Here is a 22,965-nt window from a genome sequence, read left to right as displayed (position 1 = left end):
ACTATTCATAATTCTCGTTCTTACCAGTAGGAAGCTAATACAGATTTCTTAATTATGCTGAAGAAAATGGAGGACTATGTTTAGTGGGAAATATGAATCTATCAGGAGGGAGTTAGAATGTTTATGCAGACCTACACAAGATGTACTGGTAATCTGCATGGGAGTCATGGTTAGATATCCAGACCCTCTATATATCTCATAAATGACTCAGGAGAAGCTCAGGGGTAGCTTTGCAGACACTTGTGTCTGTTAGGATAAGATGATAATGGGCATAGTCTAAAACATCTCAGCAGAAGGTGCTTTGCAAGGGAAATTCTTGAGCCGTTCTGGAGTTAGACTACCTATTCTTAACTTCTTGCTTTCACCAGTTACTTGCTGTGTAACATGTAACATTGGACAGAACATTATGGGGCCGGGCACAGTGGCTCACGCCTGTAATCCCAACACTTTGGGAGGCCGGGATGGGCAGATCACTTGAGGTCAGGAGTTCGAGACCAGCCTGACCAACATGGCGAAACCCCATCTCTACTAAAAATACAAAATTAGCCAGGCATGGTGCGCACGCCTGTAATCCCAGCTACTGAGGAGGCTGAGGCAGGAGAATTGCTTGAACCCGGGAGGTGGAGGTTGCAGTGAGCCTAGATCGCACTATTGCACTCCAGCCTGGGCAAGAGCGAAACTCCGTCTTAAACAAAACAAAACAACATTTAACCTCATTATACTTTAATTTTCTCCTCTATAAAACTATTTCATGTCACGAGTACATACATACATTTGTAAGCTGACACATTATAAGTGTTCAGTAACTGTTAGTATAATAGTATTATGTATATTACAGTGAGTGAATTAAGATCAAATTGACGTGATATTTTTACCATACTAAGTAATAGTCTGAGTGTGGTATCTGCCTTTTATCTTTTTTGACTGGAAACTTTTTCCATCCTGTTTTCTCTGCTATATCTGTCAGCCCCCATTTCACCTACTTCTTTTAGGACCATGCTTAGTCTAGTGTCTAATTATCCATAACATGTAAGAATCATACTCCTTAAAATCTACATACTCCTGTACTGCTTCTTGGAATTCTGTTAATACCTGTAGCTTAGCTCTTATTGTAATTATTTATTTGCAAATCTGTATATTTCCAACTAAACTGTGACCTAGCTTATTGAAAACACAGACAGTTATATTGTTAATTTGGCCCTGGCAAAGGACCAGATATTGAATACTTGTTTAATAAACCTGTTAAGTTAATGAATGAATCATGTGGTAGAATTGGTCAGAGCTTACTTTGTCTGACAATTGAATTTCAGTGGTTGCAAGTCAAATTCCTTTGCTGTAAATAGAAATATAAACTCTTGATTTTATTCTTGTTTTTGTTTTGGGAGTTTTAGTTCATCATGAATTCATAGTCCTGGTTAGCTTTACGAAGTAGAGATGTGTCTTCTATATACCTCTAGAGCAGGATTAGTATGTAGAAGTAATTACATCACCATCCCAGATACTTTTCAGTCAGGGCCTGCTTTGTTTCCAGCACTATTCTGGGTGCTTTGGATGATAAGAATAATAAAGTACAAACTGGAAGAAATCTTAGGCATTATTTTTATTTGAGAAAATTGAGGGTCAGAAGAGTTAAATATTTTAGAGTCATAAGTGATAGAGTACAATGTAAACCCAGGTTTTCTAACTTTCATTCACATGATTTATCTAATGGTTTGCTTTTTATTTTTTTCTACAATAAACATTACTTCATTGGAGACTCTGTATCATGTTTACCTACTTGCCAAACACATCTCTGTGTCATTTAGAAATTTGAGATAATATAACACCTACCTAGTAAATAAGTTAATGCATTTAACATGTATAGACCAGAACCTGGCATGTAGTAAAGGGTTAAAACATATTTTGGCCCTTTTAAAGATTGTAGGAATCTTCACTTCATTGAGAATACTTTTGACAGACTTAAAGAGAGAAATAGCCCTACAAAAAGAGTTAAGGACTTCAATATCTCACTTCTAATAATGGATAGAACATATGCACACAAGATCAATAAGGATATTGAGGTTGTGAACACCACTATAACCAACTAGACCTAACAGATACAGAGTCAGCCCTTCATATCCATGAGTTCTGCATTCGTGGATTCAACCAACCATGGATCAAAAATATTTGGAGGAAGAAAATTAGATGGGTGCATTTGTACCGAACATGTACAGATGATTTTTCTTGTCATTGTTCCAAATGTAAAACCTACTTATATAGCATTTATATCACATTAGGTATTGTAAGTAGAGATCGTGACGTTTTGATCAGCCACAGACTGCATATACAACAATGGTCCCTTAAGAGTATAACGGAGTTGGAAAAATTCCTATCATCTAGTAACGTCTTGATGATCTTGACCCTGTGTAAACCCTATATTAATGTGTGTGTTTGTGTCTTAATTTTTAACAAAAATGTTTCAAAAGTAAAACAAATAAAAATTTTACAAATAGAAAAAAGCTTATAGAAAATGGATATAAAGAAAGATAGCCAGGTGCGGTGGCTCACACCTGTAATCCCAGCACTTTGGGAGGCTGAGGTAGGTGGATCACTGGAGGCCAGGAGTTTGAGACCAGCCTGGCCAACATAGTGAAACCCCGTCTCTACTAAAAATACAAAAATTAGCTGAACGTGGTGGCGCATGCCTGTAATCCCAGCTACTCTGGTGGCTGAGGCACGAGAATCGCCTGGACCTGGGAGGCAGAGATTGCAGTAAGCTGAGATTGAGTCACTGCACTCCAGCCTGGGTGACAGAGTGAGACTCTGTCTCAAAAAAAAAGATACATTTTTGTACATCTGTACAATGTGTTTGTATTTTAAGTGTTACTACAGAAGAGTTCAGAAAGTTTTAAAATAGTAAATAGCTTATAAAGGTATAGTAAGCCAAGTTTTTTATTGGATAAGTAAAATTTTAAAAATAGTGTAGCCTAAGTATAAAGTGTTTATCTATCAGGTCTCCAGTAGTGTACAGTAATGTCCTAGGCCTTCATGTTCACTCACCAGTCACTAACTCATCCAGGCCAATTTCCAGTCCTGTTAAGTTCCATTCATAATGCTCTATATGACATACCATTTTTTATTTTTTATACCTTACTTTTATACCATATTTATATGCGACATACCTTTTTTATCTTTTATATGATGTTTTTACTGTATCTTTTCTATATTTAGAGACACAAGTGTTTACTGTTGTGTTACAGTTCCCTGCAGTATTCAGGACAGTACCATACTGTACAGGTTTGTAACCTGGGAGCAATAGGCTATACCATATAGCCTAGGTGTGTAGTAGGCTGTACCATCTAGGTTTGTGGAAGTACAACTTATGTTCACACAAGGACAAAATCACCTAATGAGATGCATTTCTCAGAATATATCCCTGTCGTTTAGCAATATGTGACTGTAATCTAGAGGTGATTTAAAGTATATGGGAGGATGTGTGTAGGTTGTATGCAAACACTGTACCATTGTATATATGAGACTTGAGCATCCGTGGATTTTAGGTATTCAAGTAGGGTCCTGGAATCAGTGCCCTATGGATACTGAGAGACAACCATATATAGAACTTTTCACCCAACAACAGCAAAATATACATTCTTTTAAAGTACACATGGCAGATTCTCCAGGATAGACCACATGTTAGGCCAAAAAACATTTTAGTAAATGGAAGAAGATTGAAGTCGTATGAGGTATCATCTCCAACCACAATGGAATGGAGCTAGAAATCAATTACAGGGAAAAAAAAAACCTGGAATGCTCAAAAATATGTGGAAATCAATGAACACACTCTTAAGCAACCATAGGTCAAAGAATAAATCACCAGGGAAATTAGAAAATACGTGAATGAAAATGAAAATACAATACACCAGAACTTACAGATGCCATAAAGGCAGTGCTCAAGAGAGAAATTTGTAACTATAAATGCCTGTATTAAAAGGAAGGACTAAAAGGGAAGAAAGTAAAAATCACTAACCTAACTTTATATCTTAAGGTACTAGAAAAAGAAGAGCAAACTGAATCCAAAGATAGCAGAAGGAATGAAATAATAAAGAGTAGAGCACAGCTAAATAAAATAAAGACTAGAAAATAATAGAATCAATAAAACAAAAAGTTAGTTGGTTAGAAGTCAACAAAATTGACAGCCTTTAATTAGACTGACCCCTTCCCAATAAAAAGAGCTAAAGAGAGAGAGATGTTGCAAATAACTAAAATCAGAAGTATAAGGGAAAATTTTATTACTGACCAACAGAAAACAAAAGAATTATAAGAGGAACAACTGTATGCCCACAGAGTAGATAACCTAGATGAAATGGACAAATTCTTAGAAGGATACAAATAACCCAGTATGACTCATGGCAAAATAGAAAATCTCTGCAGACCTATAACAAGTAAAGACATTGAATCAGTAATCAAAAACCTTCTGACAGACCCTCCTGCACTCCACAACCCCACTCCAGCGGCTTGTTAAAAAAAGACAGGCCACCTTCTAACAAAGAAAAGTCCAAGACCACACCACTTCACTGCTGAATTGAACCAAACACTTAAAGAAAAATTAACAGCAATCCTTCCCAAACTCTTTTTTGAGAAGGCACCTGTCGTCCCAGCTACTCTGGGGGCTGAGGCAGGAGGATCACCTGAGACTTCGGAGGTCGAGACTTCAGTGAGCCATGATTGGGCCACTGCATTCCAGCCTGGGTGACAGAGTGAGACCCTGTCTCAAAAGGAAAGGTACTTGAGACTTGAGCTTAAAATAAATTCACCCAAGTTCCAGGCTGCAAGATCAACACATAGCAATCAGTTGTGTTTCTATAAGGCAGCACGAACAGTCTGCAAAGAATGTTAAGAAAGCAATTCCACTTAACAATTGCATCTAAAGGAATAAAATCCCTTGGGACACATTTATCCAACTAAAAATGACAAAACATTGCTGAAAGGAATTAAAGAAAATCTAAATAAATGGAAAGACATCTCATGTTTATGAATAGTGGGATTTAATATTGTTAAGATGCAGTACTACTACCTAAAGTTATGTACAGCTTCAATTCAGTCCCTATCAAAATTCAAAGTCTTTTTTGCAGAAATAAAAAGCTGATCCTCAAATTCATATGGAATTGCAAAGGACCTGGACAGCCAAAACAATCATAAAAAAAGGACAAAGTTGGAGGAGTCATACTTCAGAACTTACTACAAAGTTACAGTAATCAAAACAATGTGGTACTGTCATAAGGATAGACATACAGACCAATAAAATATAATTAAGAATACAGAAATAAATGCATGTATCTATGGTCAATTAATTTTTGACAAATGTACTAAGTCCATTCAATGGGGAAAGAATAGTTTCTACAGATGTTTTGGGACAACTGAATATTAACCTACAAAAGAATGAAATTGGTCACCTGCATCACACCAGTTATACAAATTAACTCAAATTGGATCAGCAACTGAAATCTTACAGCTACAACTATAAAACTCAAGAGACCTTGGATTTGATAATGGATTCTTAGAAATAATACTGAAAGAAGAATTAACACCAATCCTTCTCAAACTCTTTTTAAAATAGAAGAGGAGGAAACACTTCCTAACTGATTCTGTGAAGCTGGCATTACCCTGAATACCAGAGCCAGACAAAAAAATCACAAAATTACAGACCAACGTTTCTTATTAATATAGATGCATAAATAACAAAAAAAGTATAAATTGGGCTTTATCAAAATTAAAACTTAATGTGTATGGTATCAAAGGACATTATTAAGAAAGTAAAAAGACAGCTTAAGGGATGCAAGAAAATATTTGCAAATCATATATGTGATAACAATTTAATATCCAGATTATATGAAGAACTACAGCTCAACAACAGAAAGACAACTCAATCAAAAAATGGGCAAAAGACTTGAATAGACATTTCTCCAGAGAAGATATATATAAATGGTCAATAAGCAAATTAAAAAATGCTCAACATTACTAATCACTAGGAGAATTCAAATTAAAACCAAAATGAGATACCACTTCATATGTACTGGGATAGCTAAAATTAAAAAGAAAGAAAAAGAAAGTAGGTCTTAACAAGAAGGTAGAGAATTGGAACCCTTATATGTTGCTAAAGAAAGTATAAAATAATGTAGCCACTTTTGAAACAATGTGGTGGTTCCTCAAAAAGTCAAACAGAACTACCACATGATCCAGCCATTCCACTCCTAGGTATATACCCAAAATATTTGAACATAGGAACTCTAATAGATGCTTTACACAAGTGTTTATTGAAGTATTATTGCAGTAGCCAAAAGGTGGAAACAATCCAAGTGTTCATCAACAGATGGATAAAGAAAATGTGGTATATAAATACAATGGAGTATCATTTATCTATGAAAAGGAATGAAGTCATGATACATGCTACAACATGGCTAAATCTCGAAAACGTACTAAGTAAAAGAAGCCAGACACAACAGGACAAATACTATATGATTCCACTTATATGAAATAATTTAGAATAGGCAAATTCAGGCCCGATGCAGTGGCTCATGACTGTAATCCCAGCACTTTGGGAGGCCGAAGCAGGAGGATTACTTGAGCCCAGGAGTTCAAAACCAGCCTGGGCAACAGAGTGAGACCCCATCTCTACAGAAAATTAAGAAATTAGCTGGGCATGGTGGTAGATGCCTGTAGTCCCAGCTACTCAGGAGGCTGAGGTGGGAAGATTGCTTGAGGTCGAGGCTGCAGTGAGTCATGATTGTGCCAGTGTACTCCAGCCTGGACAACAGAGTGAGACCCTGTCTCAAAAAAAAAAAAAAAAAAAAAAAGAGAATAGGCAAATTCACAGATACAAAGTAGAATAGAGGTTACCAGGGTTTGGGTGGAGTGGGGAACAGGGAGTTAATTCTTAATGGTTACAGAATTTTTTGTTGGAATGATGAAAAAATTTTGGAAATAGATACTGGTGATATTTATATAGCATTGCAAATGTAATTAATGCCATTGAATTGTGCATGTAGAATGGTTAAAATGGAAAATTTTGTTGTATGTTGTTTTACCACTTAAAAACTATTAATGCAGTATAACAAGATAATTGAATTTTACACTTTTAAATGAGTGATTTGTATGATATGTGAATCACATTTCAATAAAAAAAATTTTTAAAGAAAACTTTTAAGTTGTTATATATGATGCTGTGATGTTACTAGAGGTATTTTTTTTTCCCTATTGTGTTAGTTTGTTGGGGATGCTGTTGTGAAGTACCACACACTGGGTGGCTTAAAACACAGAACTGTCTCAGTTCTGGAGGCTAGAAGTTCAAAATCAAGATATTGGTATGGTTGGCTTCTGGTGGCATGCTGACAGTCTTTGGTATTGCTTGGCTTGTAAGATACATCACCCTGATCTCTGCTTTCATGTTCACATGGAGTTCTCCCTGTGTGTCTGTGTCCAGATTTCTCCTTTTATAAGGACGCAGTCTTAATGAATTAGGGGTGTGCCTTACCGTTTTGATTCGATTTACCTCTTAAAACCATATTTTAAAATAAGGTTACATTCTGAAGTACTGGTGGTTAGGGCTTCAACATAGGAATTTGAAGGTAATACAGTTCAACCCATACACTTACATTTTTCACTTAATAGTGTAATAAGCATTTTTACTTTCATTACCAAATTGTCACAAACATAATTTTAATGATTTTAAGTAGTTCAAGAAGAATTTTCACATACCTAGTTATTTCTATTTGTTATTACAAAATTATCACAAACATAATTTTAGTGATTATAAATAATTCAAGAAGACTATCCGCATAACCAATTTTCTATTGTTACCTTTAAAAATTCTTTGCAGTATTATAATTGCCAAAAACACCTTTATGCACTGCTTTTTCTGTATCATTTTCTTAGAACAGGCACCCAGAAACGAAGTTAGCGATTATTTTAAGGCTAATTTATGTGATAAATCCCACAAATCTTTGCAAATACGAGAGGCCAAAAAAGTTGTACCTCTTTATTTCTTGGTTTATTAGTGGATTGTTTTATTAATAATATTTTCTGTTCATAAATTCTCTCTTTATTTGCTAATTTAATTTAGTAGTCTTAATGTTTTTCTTACCAATTCATAAAACTCTCTGCACAGTAAAAATTTTACTTTTTGAAGTGTTTTCAGCAACTATTTAACCAATTTATCATGTATCCCTTAATTTTGATCTTGTTTCTTTTTAAAATTATAGAAGATTTGTTGGTTTTTCTCAGTGTTTCTTCTGTCGCTTCAAAGCTTGGCTTGTCCTTCTCTCAGAGTTTTGATAAGTATTTAATTCTGCTTTCTTTTGGATGTTTGTTGGGTCTAAAAATAATTAACTGTTTAATCTATTAGGAGTTTGTTTTGCTAAATGGTATGACATGAGATTGATTTTTGTTATTTTATTGCTAGCTGGTGATTCCAATTTCATTTATTAATCATTGCCTTACCCAATGACTGAAGATGTCTCATATATTGAATTAAATTATTTCGGGGAGCAGATCTGTCATAGTGATACTTTAGTAAAGAGTTATAGTATGTTTTAATATTTGAAAAGTATATTTTCCCATGCACCCCTTGGTATTTTCTTTGACATTTTTACCAGTTTATTCTTATCCACGGAGTAGAAACATGTCTCCATGCCCTTCTATCTCCACATTTATAAAGAACTTTTAATTAGAATTATGTGGAAGATAACATGAAAAATATTGAATATGTACATTTAATCTTCCCTTTTAAATACTTTGTTTCAAGACTTGTAGGTTTCTCATATAAATCAGAAATTTCTCACTATTATCCTTCAATTAACAATGAAATTTTTGTTATGTTTATTGCTTATTTTAATATCTGGAAGTATTGATTTGTGTTTATCTTATATGCTATTGCTTTACTCAACTATCAATTCTAACACATTTCACTAGATTTATTTGTATTTTCTGGGTGAACAATTAAATAGAAATGATAAATATGTTATTTTTCTTTACAATATTCATTTTTTTAACTATTTTACATGTTGGTCAGAGAGACAATTTTATATGTTGGTCTGAAATGAATGTCGCATAAGAGTGGTAATGGAAGACATCCTTTTTGTTGATATTTCTGAATTTACTCGATGTATCTCTGATGTTTCACGTAAATAGTATTTTGATAGCTCAAAATGGATACTTTTAAATTAAAAGAATTACTGGTTTTTTTTATGTAATGGTTTTATTGTGGGACTTAGAGTAGTATTTGGAATTATTACTGGATTTTATAAAATGCTATTGGGTAGGGGTACATACTGAGATTATCATTTGGATTTTTACATACTGAGATTATCATTTGGATTTTAAAATTTAATCTATTAAAATAATTCATTTTATGACACATTTATTAATAAGTTTGCTGACATTAAATTATCTTCGGTGTCTGCAATAAAACCTATTATTTCTTGGTAGGTTTTTCTTTTTTACAGATGGTTTAATAATATCATTTGTGTTCTATTTGGCTTTTCACATTCTTATCAATAAGTGATATGCATCTGTAACCATAATTGTTGGTATCTTTGTTAGGTTTTGATTTCAGGGGAATTTTTTTTTCTTGAAACTTACTGTACATGCTGCTGCCATCCCAACAGTCATCACAATAAACAGAACATCAAACTAAAAGTGTTCTTTTCTTTAAGTAGTTAGAAAAATGCAAGAATAGTACGGGTCAGTGGTAAGTGCCACAGATGTCAATTTAGTTCTCATTTTCATAGCGATGCTTCAGAGCAAGAATCTGCCTTGCTCTGGTTCTTCTCAAGTTAAGCAGACTTTTGCATGTTAGGCTGCCTCATAAACCATTGGACGATCTGGATCTGGCACATGAAAAGTATTTTTTCGATAAATGGTTAATATTGCAGTGGACACGCCAGGGCTATTTCTCTGGCCCACATCACTTCCTTTGCTCTTTTTAAATTATATACTTCAAACATGAAGGAGTCAGGGTATTTTTCCTTCTACTTTAAGTCAACTACGCTTACCAGTTTTTATTGCCCTTATGACTGACTTCAAAAAAGAATACAGTGACCTCCAGATCTTGATTCTTTGTTGTCCCTAAACTTAAGTGCATAGATTCTTTTAGTTTTAAAAGTTTTATTGCAACTGGGGAGACAGATAAGATATAACAAATTAATGACCTTTGGAAAATTACAAAGCTTAGGAAATCTTACAGTCATAATCTGTAGTCTGTATGTTTCTGTTTACCCTTTAGGCAGTACCTGGAAGAATCTTTGGACTTTACATTTTCTTTTCTTTCTTATTACTGAGAGGATATTTCAGCCTTATTTCTAAAAAGGTAGATTTCAACCCAATTTCTTCTCCTTCTTAATCATACCTAAAAGTGAAGAGACCTACCGTTTTTTTTCTAGTGTAGATATGAAGGAGATGTTAGTTTAGACCTTTGCCATTTCTCACAGGACTATTGCAAAAGGTTTCTGTCTTTATTTTTGTACATTCTACTCTACCATTCCTTTGCCCATTTTAATTTTTTTAAGACACAGATATCCTTAAAACTTTTTATCAGTTCTTCATCAGATTTAGGATGCAGTTAGATTTTTCTCTCACTCCATACACCAACAATAATTGTAAATAAATTAGAAATTTAAATGTAAAGCAAGAAATCATGTAAGTCCCAGCCAAAAATTTGAATAAATATGTAATCTTTGTGTGAAGAAAACTTTTTAAAAACAGCAACAAAGACAGACTATTAAGGAATGTAAACTGAGGAAAATATTTGCAATATATGGCAGGCAAAAAGTTAGTAGATTTAACATAGAATTTTATTTTTGTTAGGATGTACAAAAAATGCAGTTATATGAATACTCATTTATATTACAGAAAGAAGTTATTTAAATATTTTATTATTCTTGTAGATGCACTAATCTTTTGTTATTATTTCTATAGCAAAAACAAATTAGTTACTCACCAGGAGTATGCAGCATAGAACATCAGCAAGAGATAACCAAACTAAAGACTGATTTGGAAAAGAAAAGTATCTTTTATGAAGAAGAATTATCTAAAAGAGAAGGAATACATGCAAATGAAATAAAAAATCTTAAGAAAGAACTGCATGATTCAGAAGGTCAGCAACTTGCTCTCAACAAAGAAATTATGATTTTAAAAGACAAATTGGAAAAAACCAGAAGAGAAAGGTAAGAATCACATTATTTACTATACAGTAAATACTTACTGAGTACCTGTTATGTGTCAAGTATTGGAGATACATAGACAATAAACATATCCTAGACCTAAAGGAGACCAAAGTCAGGATTGGCAGATAGAAAATTATAATACAGCATGATAGAAAAGCAAATGGGATGATAATTCTGAACAAAATTACTTCTAGCTGGGTATGATGGCACACGCACACACACACACACACACACACACACACACTAGCTGGGTATGATGGCAGACACACACACACACCTATAATCTGAGCTACTTAAGAGGCTGAGGAAGGAGGCTTACTTGAGCCCAGGAGTTCAAGCCCAGCCCAGGCAACATAGTAAAACCCTATCTCTACCAGGGAAAAAAAGAAAGAAAGAAACGATAAACTTCTAAGCTGAGATATAATTAGTAAGAAAGAAGTAGCTAGGGAGGAGTGTCCAGGGAGGATGTGCTAAGATCTAAAGGAAAAGGGGGACATGCCACATTCAGAAAATGATAGCTGTTTACTATGACTGAAACATAAATAGATGAGAGTGGTGAGAAATGAAGCTGGAAAGTAAAATAGAGGCAAAGTCATGACAGAATACAAGGCATTTGCACATTATCCTCAGGCCATTGAAGAAAGGTGACATGATTATATTTACATTTTTGAATCACCACTCTTGCTACTGTGTGGAGAGTGAAGTGGGAGGAGCAGGCTGGAGGTAGGAATCCAGCTGCGAGAGATGAGGTGTGGGCCTCAGGTGGTGATAGTGAAGATGGAGAGAAGTGGATGGATTCCATCTACTAAGAAGATAGAACCTGGAGAACGTAATAAGCAGCTGTGAGAAATGAGGGAGCAGGAGAAATTATCAGTTATACTCAGCTTTCTAGATTTCAGGCAACTGAATATATGTTATTGTCATTCTCAGCTTATATTGGAAGCCCAAATTTATTCAATTTGGTGCATTTATTCATTCAGTAATATTTTTTAACCTACCATATCTGACGCACTGTTGTAGGGACTGGTACAAAAAGACAATAACAATGAAAAAAATTCCTGTCCCATAGAACTTTCTATAAGTAAAACATAGAATACATTAGATAATGATAAATGCTAAGAACAAAAAAGTAAGAGGAAATCCGTTCTATGAAGCATTCAAGGGAGGGTTAAATTATATAAATACAGGATGGCCAGGGAAAACTATACTGAGAAGGTGATTGATTTCTTAGTTAAAGATTAAAACAAGAAGAGATGTTTATACAGATGTGTGAAAAGAGCATTCTACATGGAGAAGAATAAGTTTTTTACAAAATAGTGAGGAGGCCATTGTGGCTCAAGTAGAATGATGGGAAAAGAATAGTAGAGACGAGAGAGGAGGCAACAGGGGGCCACATCATGTAAAGCCTTGTAAGTCATATTTAGTGGATGCATAGTTTCTTATTCTGAGTAAAACTATTGCAGGGAATTACAGTCATGCATTGCTTAACACCAGGGATATTTTCTGAGAAAGGTATTGTTATATGATTATATACAAGATTTTTTTTAAAAAGGGTACACCTATATAAGGCACTTACCATGAATGAAGCTTACAGGACTGGAAGTTGCTCTCGGTGAGTCACAACTAGAAGGTCTTCAGGGACAGTTACATACATGAAATTGTCATTTCCTATGACAACAGTGCCTTCTTCGGGAATACTTCCTGAAGGACCTGCCTGAGGTTGTTTTACAGTTAACTTTTAAAAAAATATTAAGTAGAAGCTGTATACTCTAAGATAACGATACGAAGTATAGTAAATATATAAACCAGTAACACAGTCATTTATTATTAAGTATTAGGTACTGTACATAATTGTATGTGCTATACTTTTATACTGCCGACAGCACAGTAGGTTTGTTTACACTGACATCACCACATACACGTGAGTAATGCTTTACATTAGTACTTAAAACAGTTACAATATCACAGGTAATAGGAATTTTTCAACACCACATAGTGTTCCCATAAGATTATAATAAAGTTGAAAAATTTACGCAGTTATGGACTAATGCATTATGGACTAATGGCAGTCCATAGTTGATCAAAATGTCATTATGCATTACATGACTATATTGTAGAATTCTGAGCAGAAAAGTGACAACTGATTTGTGTTTTAATAGGATCACTCTGAATACTAGGTTAAGAGTAGTCTGAATTAGGTAAGAGCAAAAGTGATGAGACCACTTAGAAGACGATTGAAGTAATCCAAGCAGAAGATGACAGTGGCTTTGGCCTAGAGTAGTGGCAAAAGGGATAAGAAGGGTTTGAATTTTAATGATCTTTAAAGGTAAAGATAGCAATGTATTGATGGACTAGGTATGGGATGAGGGAGAAAAAGGAAGACTCAAGGATGATACTAAGGTTTTTGGTCCAAGCAGTTGGGAGAATATATTACTAGAAAGGACGACTACAGGAGAGGCAAGTTTGGGATTGGGAGTGTTATCAAGGGCACATTTTTTCCCCTGACAAGACTCTTTCATAAACAGAAAGAGCTCATTTTAAACAGTTACAGTTGAGATGCTTATTAGACATTCAGTTGGAGATGTCAAATAGGCTGATGTATAGACCAGCCTGGATTTGGGGGCAGGAGGTAAAATCCTGAGAATATTTATCACTTCCATGGCATTTAAACCTCTGAGACTGTATGAAAACACTTAGTGAATGGATATAGATAGAAAAAAATTTCTTAGAACTGAGCCTTGGGGTACTCCAATTTTTGGAAGTCAAGAGATGATGAGGAACCAGCAGAGTGGATAGAGAAAGGGCAGTGAGAATGACAGCATAATAACAGGCAAATTTAGTGTCCTTGTGTTAGCAGCGCCGAATCCATATGTGTTTGCAGCAGCCTCAATTCTTGCCTCCTCAGAATAAAGAATTAGACCAAGGGGCATAAGACAGGGAGAGACTGAGGCAAGTTTTAGAACAGGAGTGAAAGTTTGTTAAAAAGCTTTAGAACAGGAATAAAAGGAAGCAAAGTACACTTGGAATTGGGCTAAGTGGGTGACTTGAGAGATTCAAGTGTATGATTTAACCTTTGACTTGGTGTTTAACCTTTGACTTGGCATGCTTCTGTGGGGTTGCATCCCTTCTCTGATTCTTCCCTTGGGGTGGGCTGTCCACATGCACAGTGACCTACCAGCACTTGGGAGGGGCTGCATGCACAGTGTGTTTACTGAAGTTGTACACGTGCTCATTTGAGGCATTCTTCCCTGACTGGTTGAGTGCTCCTAGAAGAAGGTCATATGCCACCAGTTAAACTCCACCATTTTGCCTCTTAGTGTGCATGCTTGAGCCCACTTGCCTAACTCCTGAGTCTTATTGGGAAGCTGCTGATCACCAGTTTCAGGCTTTTCTATCTAGTGGTAGACTGCCTTTTCCTGGCACCAGGTGTGACCAATTATTATTTTAGAGAGACAGTTTAACAACCACCTGATCATCACCTGATGTGGCCATTCCTGGTTGGGGGTGTCCTCCTGTCCTGCTTATGTCTGCCTGACTGCCTACTGTAACACTGGAAACCAAGTGAAGAAAGCATATAAAGTCTGTCAGCATGTCAAATAAAATGAGTTCTGAATCAAATGAGATAAGGACTAAATAATGACATTGAGTTTAGCAATAGCAATATGAAGGTCATTGGTGCCTTTGATAAGAACAATTTTGTGGAAAAGTAGAGGCAGAGACCCCACAGTAGGATCAAAAGAGACTGGAAGGAGAGCAGTTAGAGGCAGAACATAGAGGTAAAACTATTGTACTTTGTTGTGTGGGTGTGTGTGTGTGTTTTAAGATGGAAAAAATAACAGCATGCTTGTAATCTGATAGAAATTATAGATGATTGGAGGAGAGAGGAGAGGAGGAAAGTACTGGAGCAAAGTACTTGAGGATGTTCATAATGAAGGGGTTGGCCTTACTCGATCCTGTTTTGTTTTTTTTAACCTATCATGAAAAGAGAAAGTAGAGTATATGGACATAGATGGGGTGGTGGGAACTTGTCTGTGTGTTGAGCTCTCTTGTTGAGTTGGGCATATTGAACTTGTGGTGCTTGGAAGACATCTTTGTGGAGATGTCAGGTCAGTTTGAAGGCCACAAAAGCTTCAAGTGTAGATTCAGAGATCATCAGCTGAATACATAAATAAAACCAGCTGGTGTCATTGATGAGCTAACTCAGGCAGCATGTGTAGAGAGGGAAGAGACAGCACCTAAGACAGAATACTGAGGAGCATTGATATTTACAGGAAGGATGGAAGAGTCACAAAGACAGCTGAAAAGAAGCCAGGAATGTAGACTAAAACTAGGAGAGCATGGGATCCCTGAAGTCAAAGCCAGACAGCATGTCAAGAGGGCAAGAGTGGACAACACTGTCAAAAGTGGCCAGCAGGTTGGATGTAATCACAGGCAGTGTTGAGTTTTGAGAGAGCTGTTTTCTTGAGATGGTGGAGGCAGAAGCCAGATTTTGGTGTGGTGGAGAGCAACTAAGCGATGAAAAAGTAGTTACAGAATCTGTTTCAGGATGCTTACCAGTGAGTGGGAAGACAAGGATTTAGGAAATGAATTGTGACACAGGGTATGGGGAGAGTTTCTTTATTTTTAATATGGAAGAGACTTAAGCTTGTTTAATGCTAACAGGAAAAAGAATGGTTTTACATGAAAATTTTACTCAATTTATTTGTGTACATATTTTTCTGAAAGTCTTTGCAGTTTTTTTATTGAAGTTGCTTCTGTGTTAGGAAAGCTTCCTAAACATAACTAAATTTAACATCTGTCTATAGATAGTAGTGAAGTGACAAATTTGCTTGGAGATGGAGGTTGGCTTATTTTCCTTGAATTTGTCATTTAAATTATAATTTATCTTCAATAATGTTATGTAGGAGATTTTTAAGATTACACTTTTAAGATCAACCATTACTTACATTGTTTGTTCACCAGAAAGCAATCATATAAAATTACCCAGAACTGATCCACATGGAATTTCATTTATTGCTAACATCCTATAGCATCCATCAAATTGCTGTAGATATATGCCTGTTTGTCACATAACAATATAGTCTTCAAAAACTTATTCCTTGCTGGGCACGGTGGCCCATGCCTGTAATCTGAGCACTTTGGGAGGCTGAGGCGGGCGGATCACCTGAGGTCAGGAGTTCGAGACCAGCCTGGCCAATATTGTAAAACCCCATCTCTACTGAAAATACAAAAATTAGCCAGACACAGTGGCATGTGCCTGTAATCCCAGCTACTCCAGAGGCTGAGGCTAGAGAATTGCTTGAACCTGAAAGGCGGAGATTGCAGTGAGCTGAGATCGCACCACTGCACTCCAGCCTGGGATACAGAGTGAGACTCTTGTCTCAAAAAAAAAAAAAAAAAAACCAAAGAACTTATTCCCCTTTTTTCCTTAGAAGATTTTTTAAGTCTTATTAAAACTGTGTTTACTTCTAAGGGTAAATAAGTCATCATGATCCACAGAACTATCATTTTAAATAAGCTTTGTAATATTATAATAATAATGTGTATATATGTAGATGTAAGAAGGAATGGCTGAAAGTATTGATAGAACTGTTGGAAATTTAATTGAACTTTTAATACAATCTAGGGTTGAGAACAAGGAATCATTTTGTGGTTCATATATCCTCTTTCCCTAACCTCTCCTTTCACCATGCTTTCTAGTATATACATAATCAAATAAGGTGAGCATAGGAAGTCTACACATCACAGATGTTTTCCTCAGATTTCCAAATGAAACACAAATAGATGTTATTAAGTATACGTTCATTGAACTCATTAAAAGTAAATGAGTGTGACTTTTAATTTTAAGGGAAAGGATGAGGATTTGGAAGCATCAGGCTATAAGTAAAGCAGATGGTGCAATAGCCAATCTGGAATACTGTTATTTTCAATAAAATCAGGCAATGCAGTTCCATTCTGGCATTTTCTGCTGTCATTTGCAGACTGTCATCTGAAGACACCTACCATAGTGTTTCTCCAGGATGCTAATGTGCCCTCTCACTGGTGTATTTATTAATGCCTTGGTGAAAGGAGTGCTTTGTGGGTGGCTGACCAGGTTGCACATAATAGGTCCACTCTGACATTCTCATCTCTTTGAGCCAGTAGACCCTTTATGCTCAGTAAGTCAAATATCTCGAGCTAATTGACTGTAGGCCACTATTGGGTCCAAAGTCCAGGCTTCAATTACTCAGCCTAGCAGTGAAAAACTACACCTGAATATTGAGTCAACACATTAAACCACAAATCCTAGATGAGTATGTGCATTTGATAAATTTGGCTGTATTTAATTTTTTATTTACCCACCTTGGGGTAACACCCTTCTGACCTGAAGGAAGAAGCTGAGGCACAGGATATGTTTAAAGAGTTTGTTTGAGCCAAAGTGAGGACAGCTGCCAGGAACACACTTCCAGGTTACCTTGAGGAGTGCTCCATTAGGTCTTTGTTACAAGTAGGGTTTTAAAAGCAAAAGGAGGCAAGGGCTGGGCTGATACAAAGTTGTTTGACAGGCATTTTCACTGGTTTACAAAATAACATTGATTAGTGACTGGCTATTCATTGTTGAACTATAGCGTGTGAGTCATGGTCTCCAGTGTATGGCATTTTATGGCTACTTGGCATCAGTTTAGAGCCCACATAGCAAGTGGCCTCAAGAGGTGATTATTTAGCTCAAGGTGGGAGTGAGATGTGACTGCTCTCACATTTTAAATACCTCTCTGGGCCTGATAATTTAAATGGTCTCACATTCCTCAGATAAAAAAAGTTTATTTTCTTTCTCAGCTCTTAGAATTCATTTCTGTATGCTGCCCATACTCCTTCCAATATAAATTGCCAAAATGCTTTAACACCTTCATTGCTTTTATATCTAGTCTCTGCTGTGATCTTAACTGTCATCATAGGCCTGAAGACAATGACAAGTGATTGGGTAGGTGTTAAAGATAGTTGGCCTCCCTTTTTGATGTAACTATTTCAGGTGAAGTTAATAAATGATTTATGCAAAAACAGGTTGGTTGCCTCAGGTTATAGCTGCTTTGAGGAAGGGGATGAGATTGCTTCTACCTGCAGAGGTTTGAAGCAATACGAGAGTTCAGAGTTCTCAGCACTGTCTTTTGCTGCCTGAAGGTTCCAATATGTTGTCCAAAAGACAGAAACTGAGACAAAATTAATATAGAGTTTATTTGGGCCAAGGTTGAGGACTGCAGCCCAGGAAACACAGAGAAGTGCTCCAGAGAACAAAAAAGAGGCTCAGGTTTTTAAAGAAAAATCAGGAGAGGGAACATACAAAAGTCTTTGGTCAGGAGTTCTCACTGGTTTGCAGAAATAACATTGATTAATGATTGGCTGTACATTGTTGAACTATAGGGTATGAGTTATGGTGTCCAGAATATGGCATTGTTGGGTTAATTTATAGCTATTGGTGACACTCAGTCTGGAGTCCACATAGCTGGTAGATTACTTAGCTCAACTGGGAGAATAAGATGTGACTGCAGTCACATTTCAGTGCCTGTCTGGCCCTGCTAATTTAAAGGGGCTCGCATTTCTCATAAAAAGTTTCTTTTCTTTCTCACATCTCATGTCTTGGGGACTGCACTCATTCTGAATCCACACCCTTAGCCTAAGAGGTTTGGTCAGTGTTGTGCAGATCAACATTTTGCACCTTCTGATGGGATGCACTGAGAAACATTGTTCTTGTGGTATTCCAGCCAAAAATGAATTCTTTGAGACTAGTCATAAACATCAGATGGCCCCAGGTTGAGTGTCACTGTACATAATTAGAGACCTATACATTATAAAACTGTTGTGAGAGATAGGGAAGACTGAGGAACTGTTCTAGACCAAGGAAAATTGAAGAGACATGACTACTAAATGCAACACATGTTTCTCAGTTGGATCCTGGGCTTCATAAGAAAAGGAGACATGGTAGGGATAACTTGAATTGTGTCTGTGAATTCAGATGGTAAGTGTTCTAGTAATGTTGATTTTTTTAAATTGAGAGGATTGCTTCGTGATTATGGTAGAGTGTCCTTGACTTTGAAAGATACACACTGGAGTATTTAGGGGTAATAGGGCATAATATCTGCAGCTAGCTGCCTCTCAGTGGTTCTGAAGAACACTAATAAAATCGGTATATACACAATAATAGAGAAAATGCAGTAAAATATTTACAATTGGGGAATCTGGGTTAAGAGTATACAAAAATTCTTTGTACTATTCTTGTAACTTTGCTAATAATAATGAAATTATTTCGAAGTAAATTTTTTAAAATTTCTGAACTCATAAATTCTAATTATGAACAAAATGTTTGGAATACTATTGTTAATCAAATTGATAACACTAGGAAGTGGCTCTGGCCTAATACTAAATAAGGGCCCAGCAACTTTGTATTTTGTAAGAATATTGTGGTGGAAATACACAAAGAAAAGTATCTAATTTGGTCTCAAACTAATTTGCCTTTGGATAGAACGTAATGCATGTGAAGCAAATGGCAATTATTATTTTCATTTTGGTCCATTATCAACCTTGATGTACGTTCTCTGACTATATAATCTAAAGTAGCCACCCTCTCCCAAATACTTTTTGCATTGCCATATATATACAATTTAGAACTTATTATCTGAAATTAGTTCATTTTACTCACTCTTCATTGGCAGTCTGCCTCTACCAGAATATAAGCTCTGTGAGAGCAGTAGCTGTCAAGACCTGCAACAATTCCTTGGCACCTAGTAAGCACTCCATAAATAGTTGGTAAATGAATGAACAAATCAGTATTATTGTAATATAAATTCCTGGAACATGCTTTCACCAGGCCTGTCATTATATATAAACAAGCTGTATTCTATGGGGACAACATTTCTGCAGTTCAATCTGATATTTTGTGTTTTATGTAACTATTGGAAAAATAATTTCAAGTTTTCAAATGACCTTTAATTCCCCTTTTTCCTTTTGTGTTTTGAATTGTGTTAGTCAAAGTGAAAGGGAGGAATTTGAAAGTGAGTTCAAACAACAATATGAACGAGAAAAAGTGTTGTTAACTGAAGAAAATAAAAAGCTGACGAGTGAACTTGATAAGGTGAGTGATTTAATCTCATATTAATTGAGTAGTACATGCTAGATGTTCAACACTGATAGGAATTGTGGGTATAACTTTATATTTGACATACATTTTTGTTTAATAGTCTTTCTCCTGAGTTATGTTGCTTCTATGATATATGCAATTCTTTGTTATAATAATCTGATAGGAGTCTTCTGAAGAGAGAGTTTTGCTTATCTCCTTTTATTCTTTGTCCCATATATTTTTTTGAGCCTCTTATTTATTTCACTCTCCATCCAATTAGTCCATTTTGGGGTTACTATAAAGGAATACCTGAGACTGGGTAATTTACAAATAAAATAGATTTATTTTGGCTTATGGTTCTGCAGGTTGTACAGGAAGTGTGGTGCCAGCATCTACTTCTGGTGAGAGTCTCAGGAAGCTTCCAATCATGGCAGAAGGTGCAAGGGCAAGGGAGGGAGCAAGAGAGAGACTGGGGAGGTGCACACACTTTTGAACAACCGGATCTCAGTGAGAACTCACTTATCACCAAGGGGATGATGCTAAACCATTCATGAGGGGCCTGCCCTCCTGATCCAGTCACCTCCCCCCAGGCCCCACCTCCAACACTGGGAATCACATTTCAACCTGAGATTCGAAGGAGACAGACATTGAAGTCATATCACCATCTGTTCTCTTTCTTACTCTTTTTTTTCATATATTCATCGTTTACCCCGTCACGGATGGCTAATAAGTTCAGGCCAAGTTAAGGCTGTCCCTTGGCAAGAACAGGGACAATTAGGCCAAACCTGGAGAAATTGTAACAGCTGATTCATATTCACAAAGAAGAACTAGTAAAGCTAGAAATGATACCAGGGGTAGGTGATATCTAAAGAAACCATCTCAGCCTGATTTCTAGCTTGCATACAGAATCATGTATTGAACTGAGAAGTAGCCATATTCATGAACAAAATTTCAAATACTTAAAGGAATTTTTTTCCCACTTAGTATCTCAAATTTCCCAACTTCCCACCATTCTGCATTTCTTGTGCTAATTCCTAGCAAGCAGTTGTAAAAATCCTAATATTAACCAGAAGTTTATTGTTTGTTTGTTTTGATACAGTCTCGCTCTGTCGCCCAGGCTGGAGTGCGGTGGTGCAATCTCGTCTCACTGCAACTTCCGCCTCCTGGGTTCAAACAATTCTCCTGCCTCAGCCTCCTGAGTTGCTGGGACTACAGGCGCACACCACCACACCCAGCTAATGTTTGTACTTTTAGTAGAGTTGGAATTTCACCGTGTTGGCCAGGCTGGTCTTGAACTCCTGACCTCAAGCAATCCGCCCACCTCAGCCTCCCAAAATGCTGGGATTACAGGCGTGAGCCACCATGCCTGGCCACATGAGCCACTGCGCCCAGCCCAGAAGTTTTAATAATTCTACTTAAATTTAAATAATAAGGGCTGGTTAATTGTATTTTATAATGATATCTAGTATTTTCCTCCAATAAAAATATTATGTTCAATTATTAGTTATTCCAATAACAGACTGAAAGACCTTGACTTGTAAAATAGAGACTCTTCCTTTTGTTTTCTGTATAGCTCTGTATTTCTCACTATTTTCCCCATGATTATTCAGCATTTAAAATGCTAAATAAGTATTTAAAACATTTTTTAAATGACTGCTTGTTTTCTAAGCCTTTAAAAAATGACTAGTTGAAAACTACTTGAGAAAGAATACTGTTCACATCATAAAGTCTTGTAAAGCTAACATACACAAACATTGTAGGAAGTGGCTGAACAGTAAGTAATATAAATTGATTTTTTAAGCCATGAATAGTGCATGAACTTTAACAGTTATTTCCATTGAAATAAGACTAACAATATTTGAACTTTATCCAAGCAGGTCAATAATTGTTATTTCATGTGTTGACTAATTTGATTACAAAATTTAATGTCATTTTGTCCTATAAGACAGAATTTTAAGATTCTGTTGAGTTACCTACTAAAAGATGTTATTACATTTTAAGAAAAATTGTATTGGAAAATAACTTGAATGTAGATCAAATTTTTGCATTCAATTATTGGTTTAATTTCATTGTTAGCCATACATTTCTGCTGAGTTTATCCAAAATACATATTTAGAGAGAATTTTTCAAAACTTCTCATTTGATTAAAATTGTGTTGCAGTCTAATACATCCATGAGAAATGGACATACTTAGGCCTAGTATATGTAATGAAGCCTCCTTGATGAGGCCTGAAGGATAGTTTGTTTTTAAAAAAAAAAAAAAAAAAAAAAAACGGAATTACCCATTCTTGCTAAATTGAAAGATAGGTAGGATATGAGTAGCACCTTAAGAGCAAATTCATATGGTAGGTAAATATTTAATGTCCAGTGGTTACAGGGCAGTATTTATTCCTGAAGAAATGGGAGAGATCTGGAATCTCTATTTCCATTTGAACCTCTGCTCTGTTTCTCAAACTTTTGTTCAATTTTTGCATCTCTCTCTTCCTAATTCTCAGTCTACCTTTCCCTTTTTAATTCTGTCTGTCTCAGTAGTGATAAGCTGAACTTCACTGTACATCTTCACTTTCCATTTATTCATTTTCCAATTTGGTTAGAAGTGGGTAGTTTCCCCAAGGATGACCACAGAAGCATTTGCCATTGCTACACCAACTGTTCCATTGGGAACCAGCTTGA

General features: G+C 36.0%; 1 protein-coding gene across 25 annotated transcripts in view; it reads left to right on the top strand.

Annotated features, from left to right (window-relative positions):
• Positions 1 to 22,965, top strand: part of CDC42BPA (CDC42 binding protein kinase alpha) — a 328,635-nt gene that overhangs the window by 206,300 nt on the left and 99,370 nt on the right. For all 25 annotated transcript variants that reach the window (NM_001366011.1, XM_017002580.3, NM_014826.5 and 22 more), the window contains 2 exons: positions 10,954 to 11,201; positions 20,202 to 20,307. In NM_001366011.1, the coding sequence (NP_001352940.1) occupies positions 10,954 to 11,201; positions 20,202 to 20,307 (354 nt within the window). The remainder of the gene's footprint in view (positions 1 to 10,953; positions 11,202 to 20,201; positions 20,308 to 22,965) is intronic.

This window comes from Homo sapiens, chromosome 1 (assembly GCF_000001405.40).
Source record: "Homo sapiens chromosome 1, GRCh38.p14 Primary Assembly".
In the NCBI taxonomy this organism is placed as follows: domain Eukaryota; kingdom Metazoa; phylum Chordata; class Mammalia; order Primates; family Hominidae; genus Homo; species Homo sapiens.
Note: the sequence above shows the minus strand (reverse complement) of the source record. Positions and strands in the feature narration are given on the sequence as shown.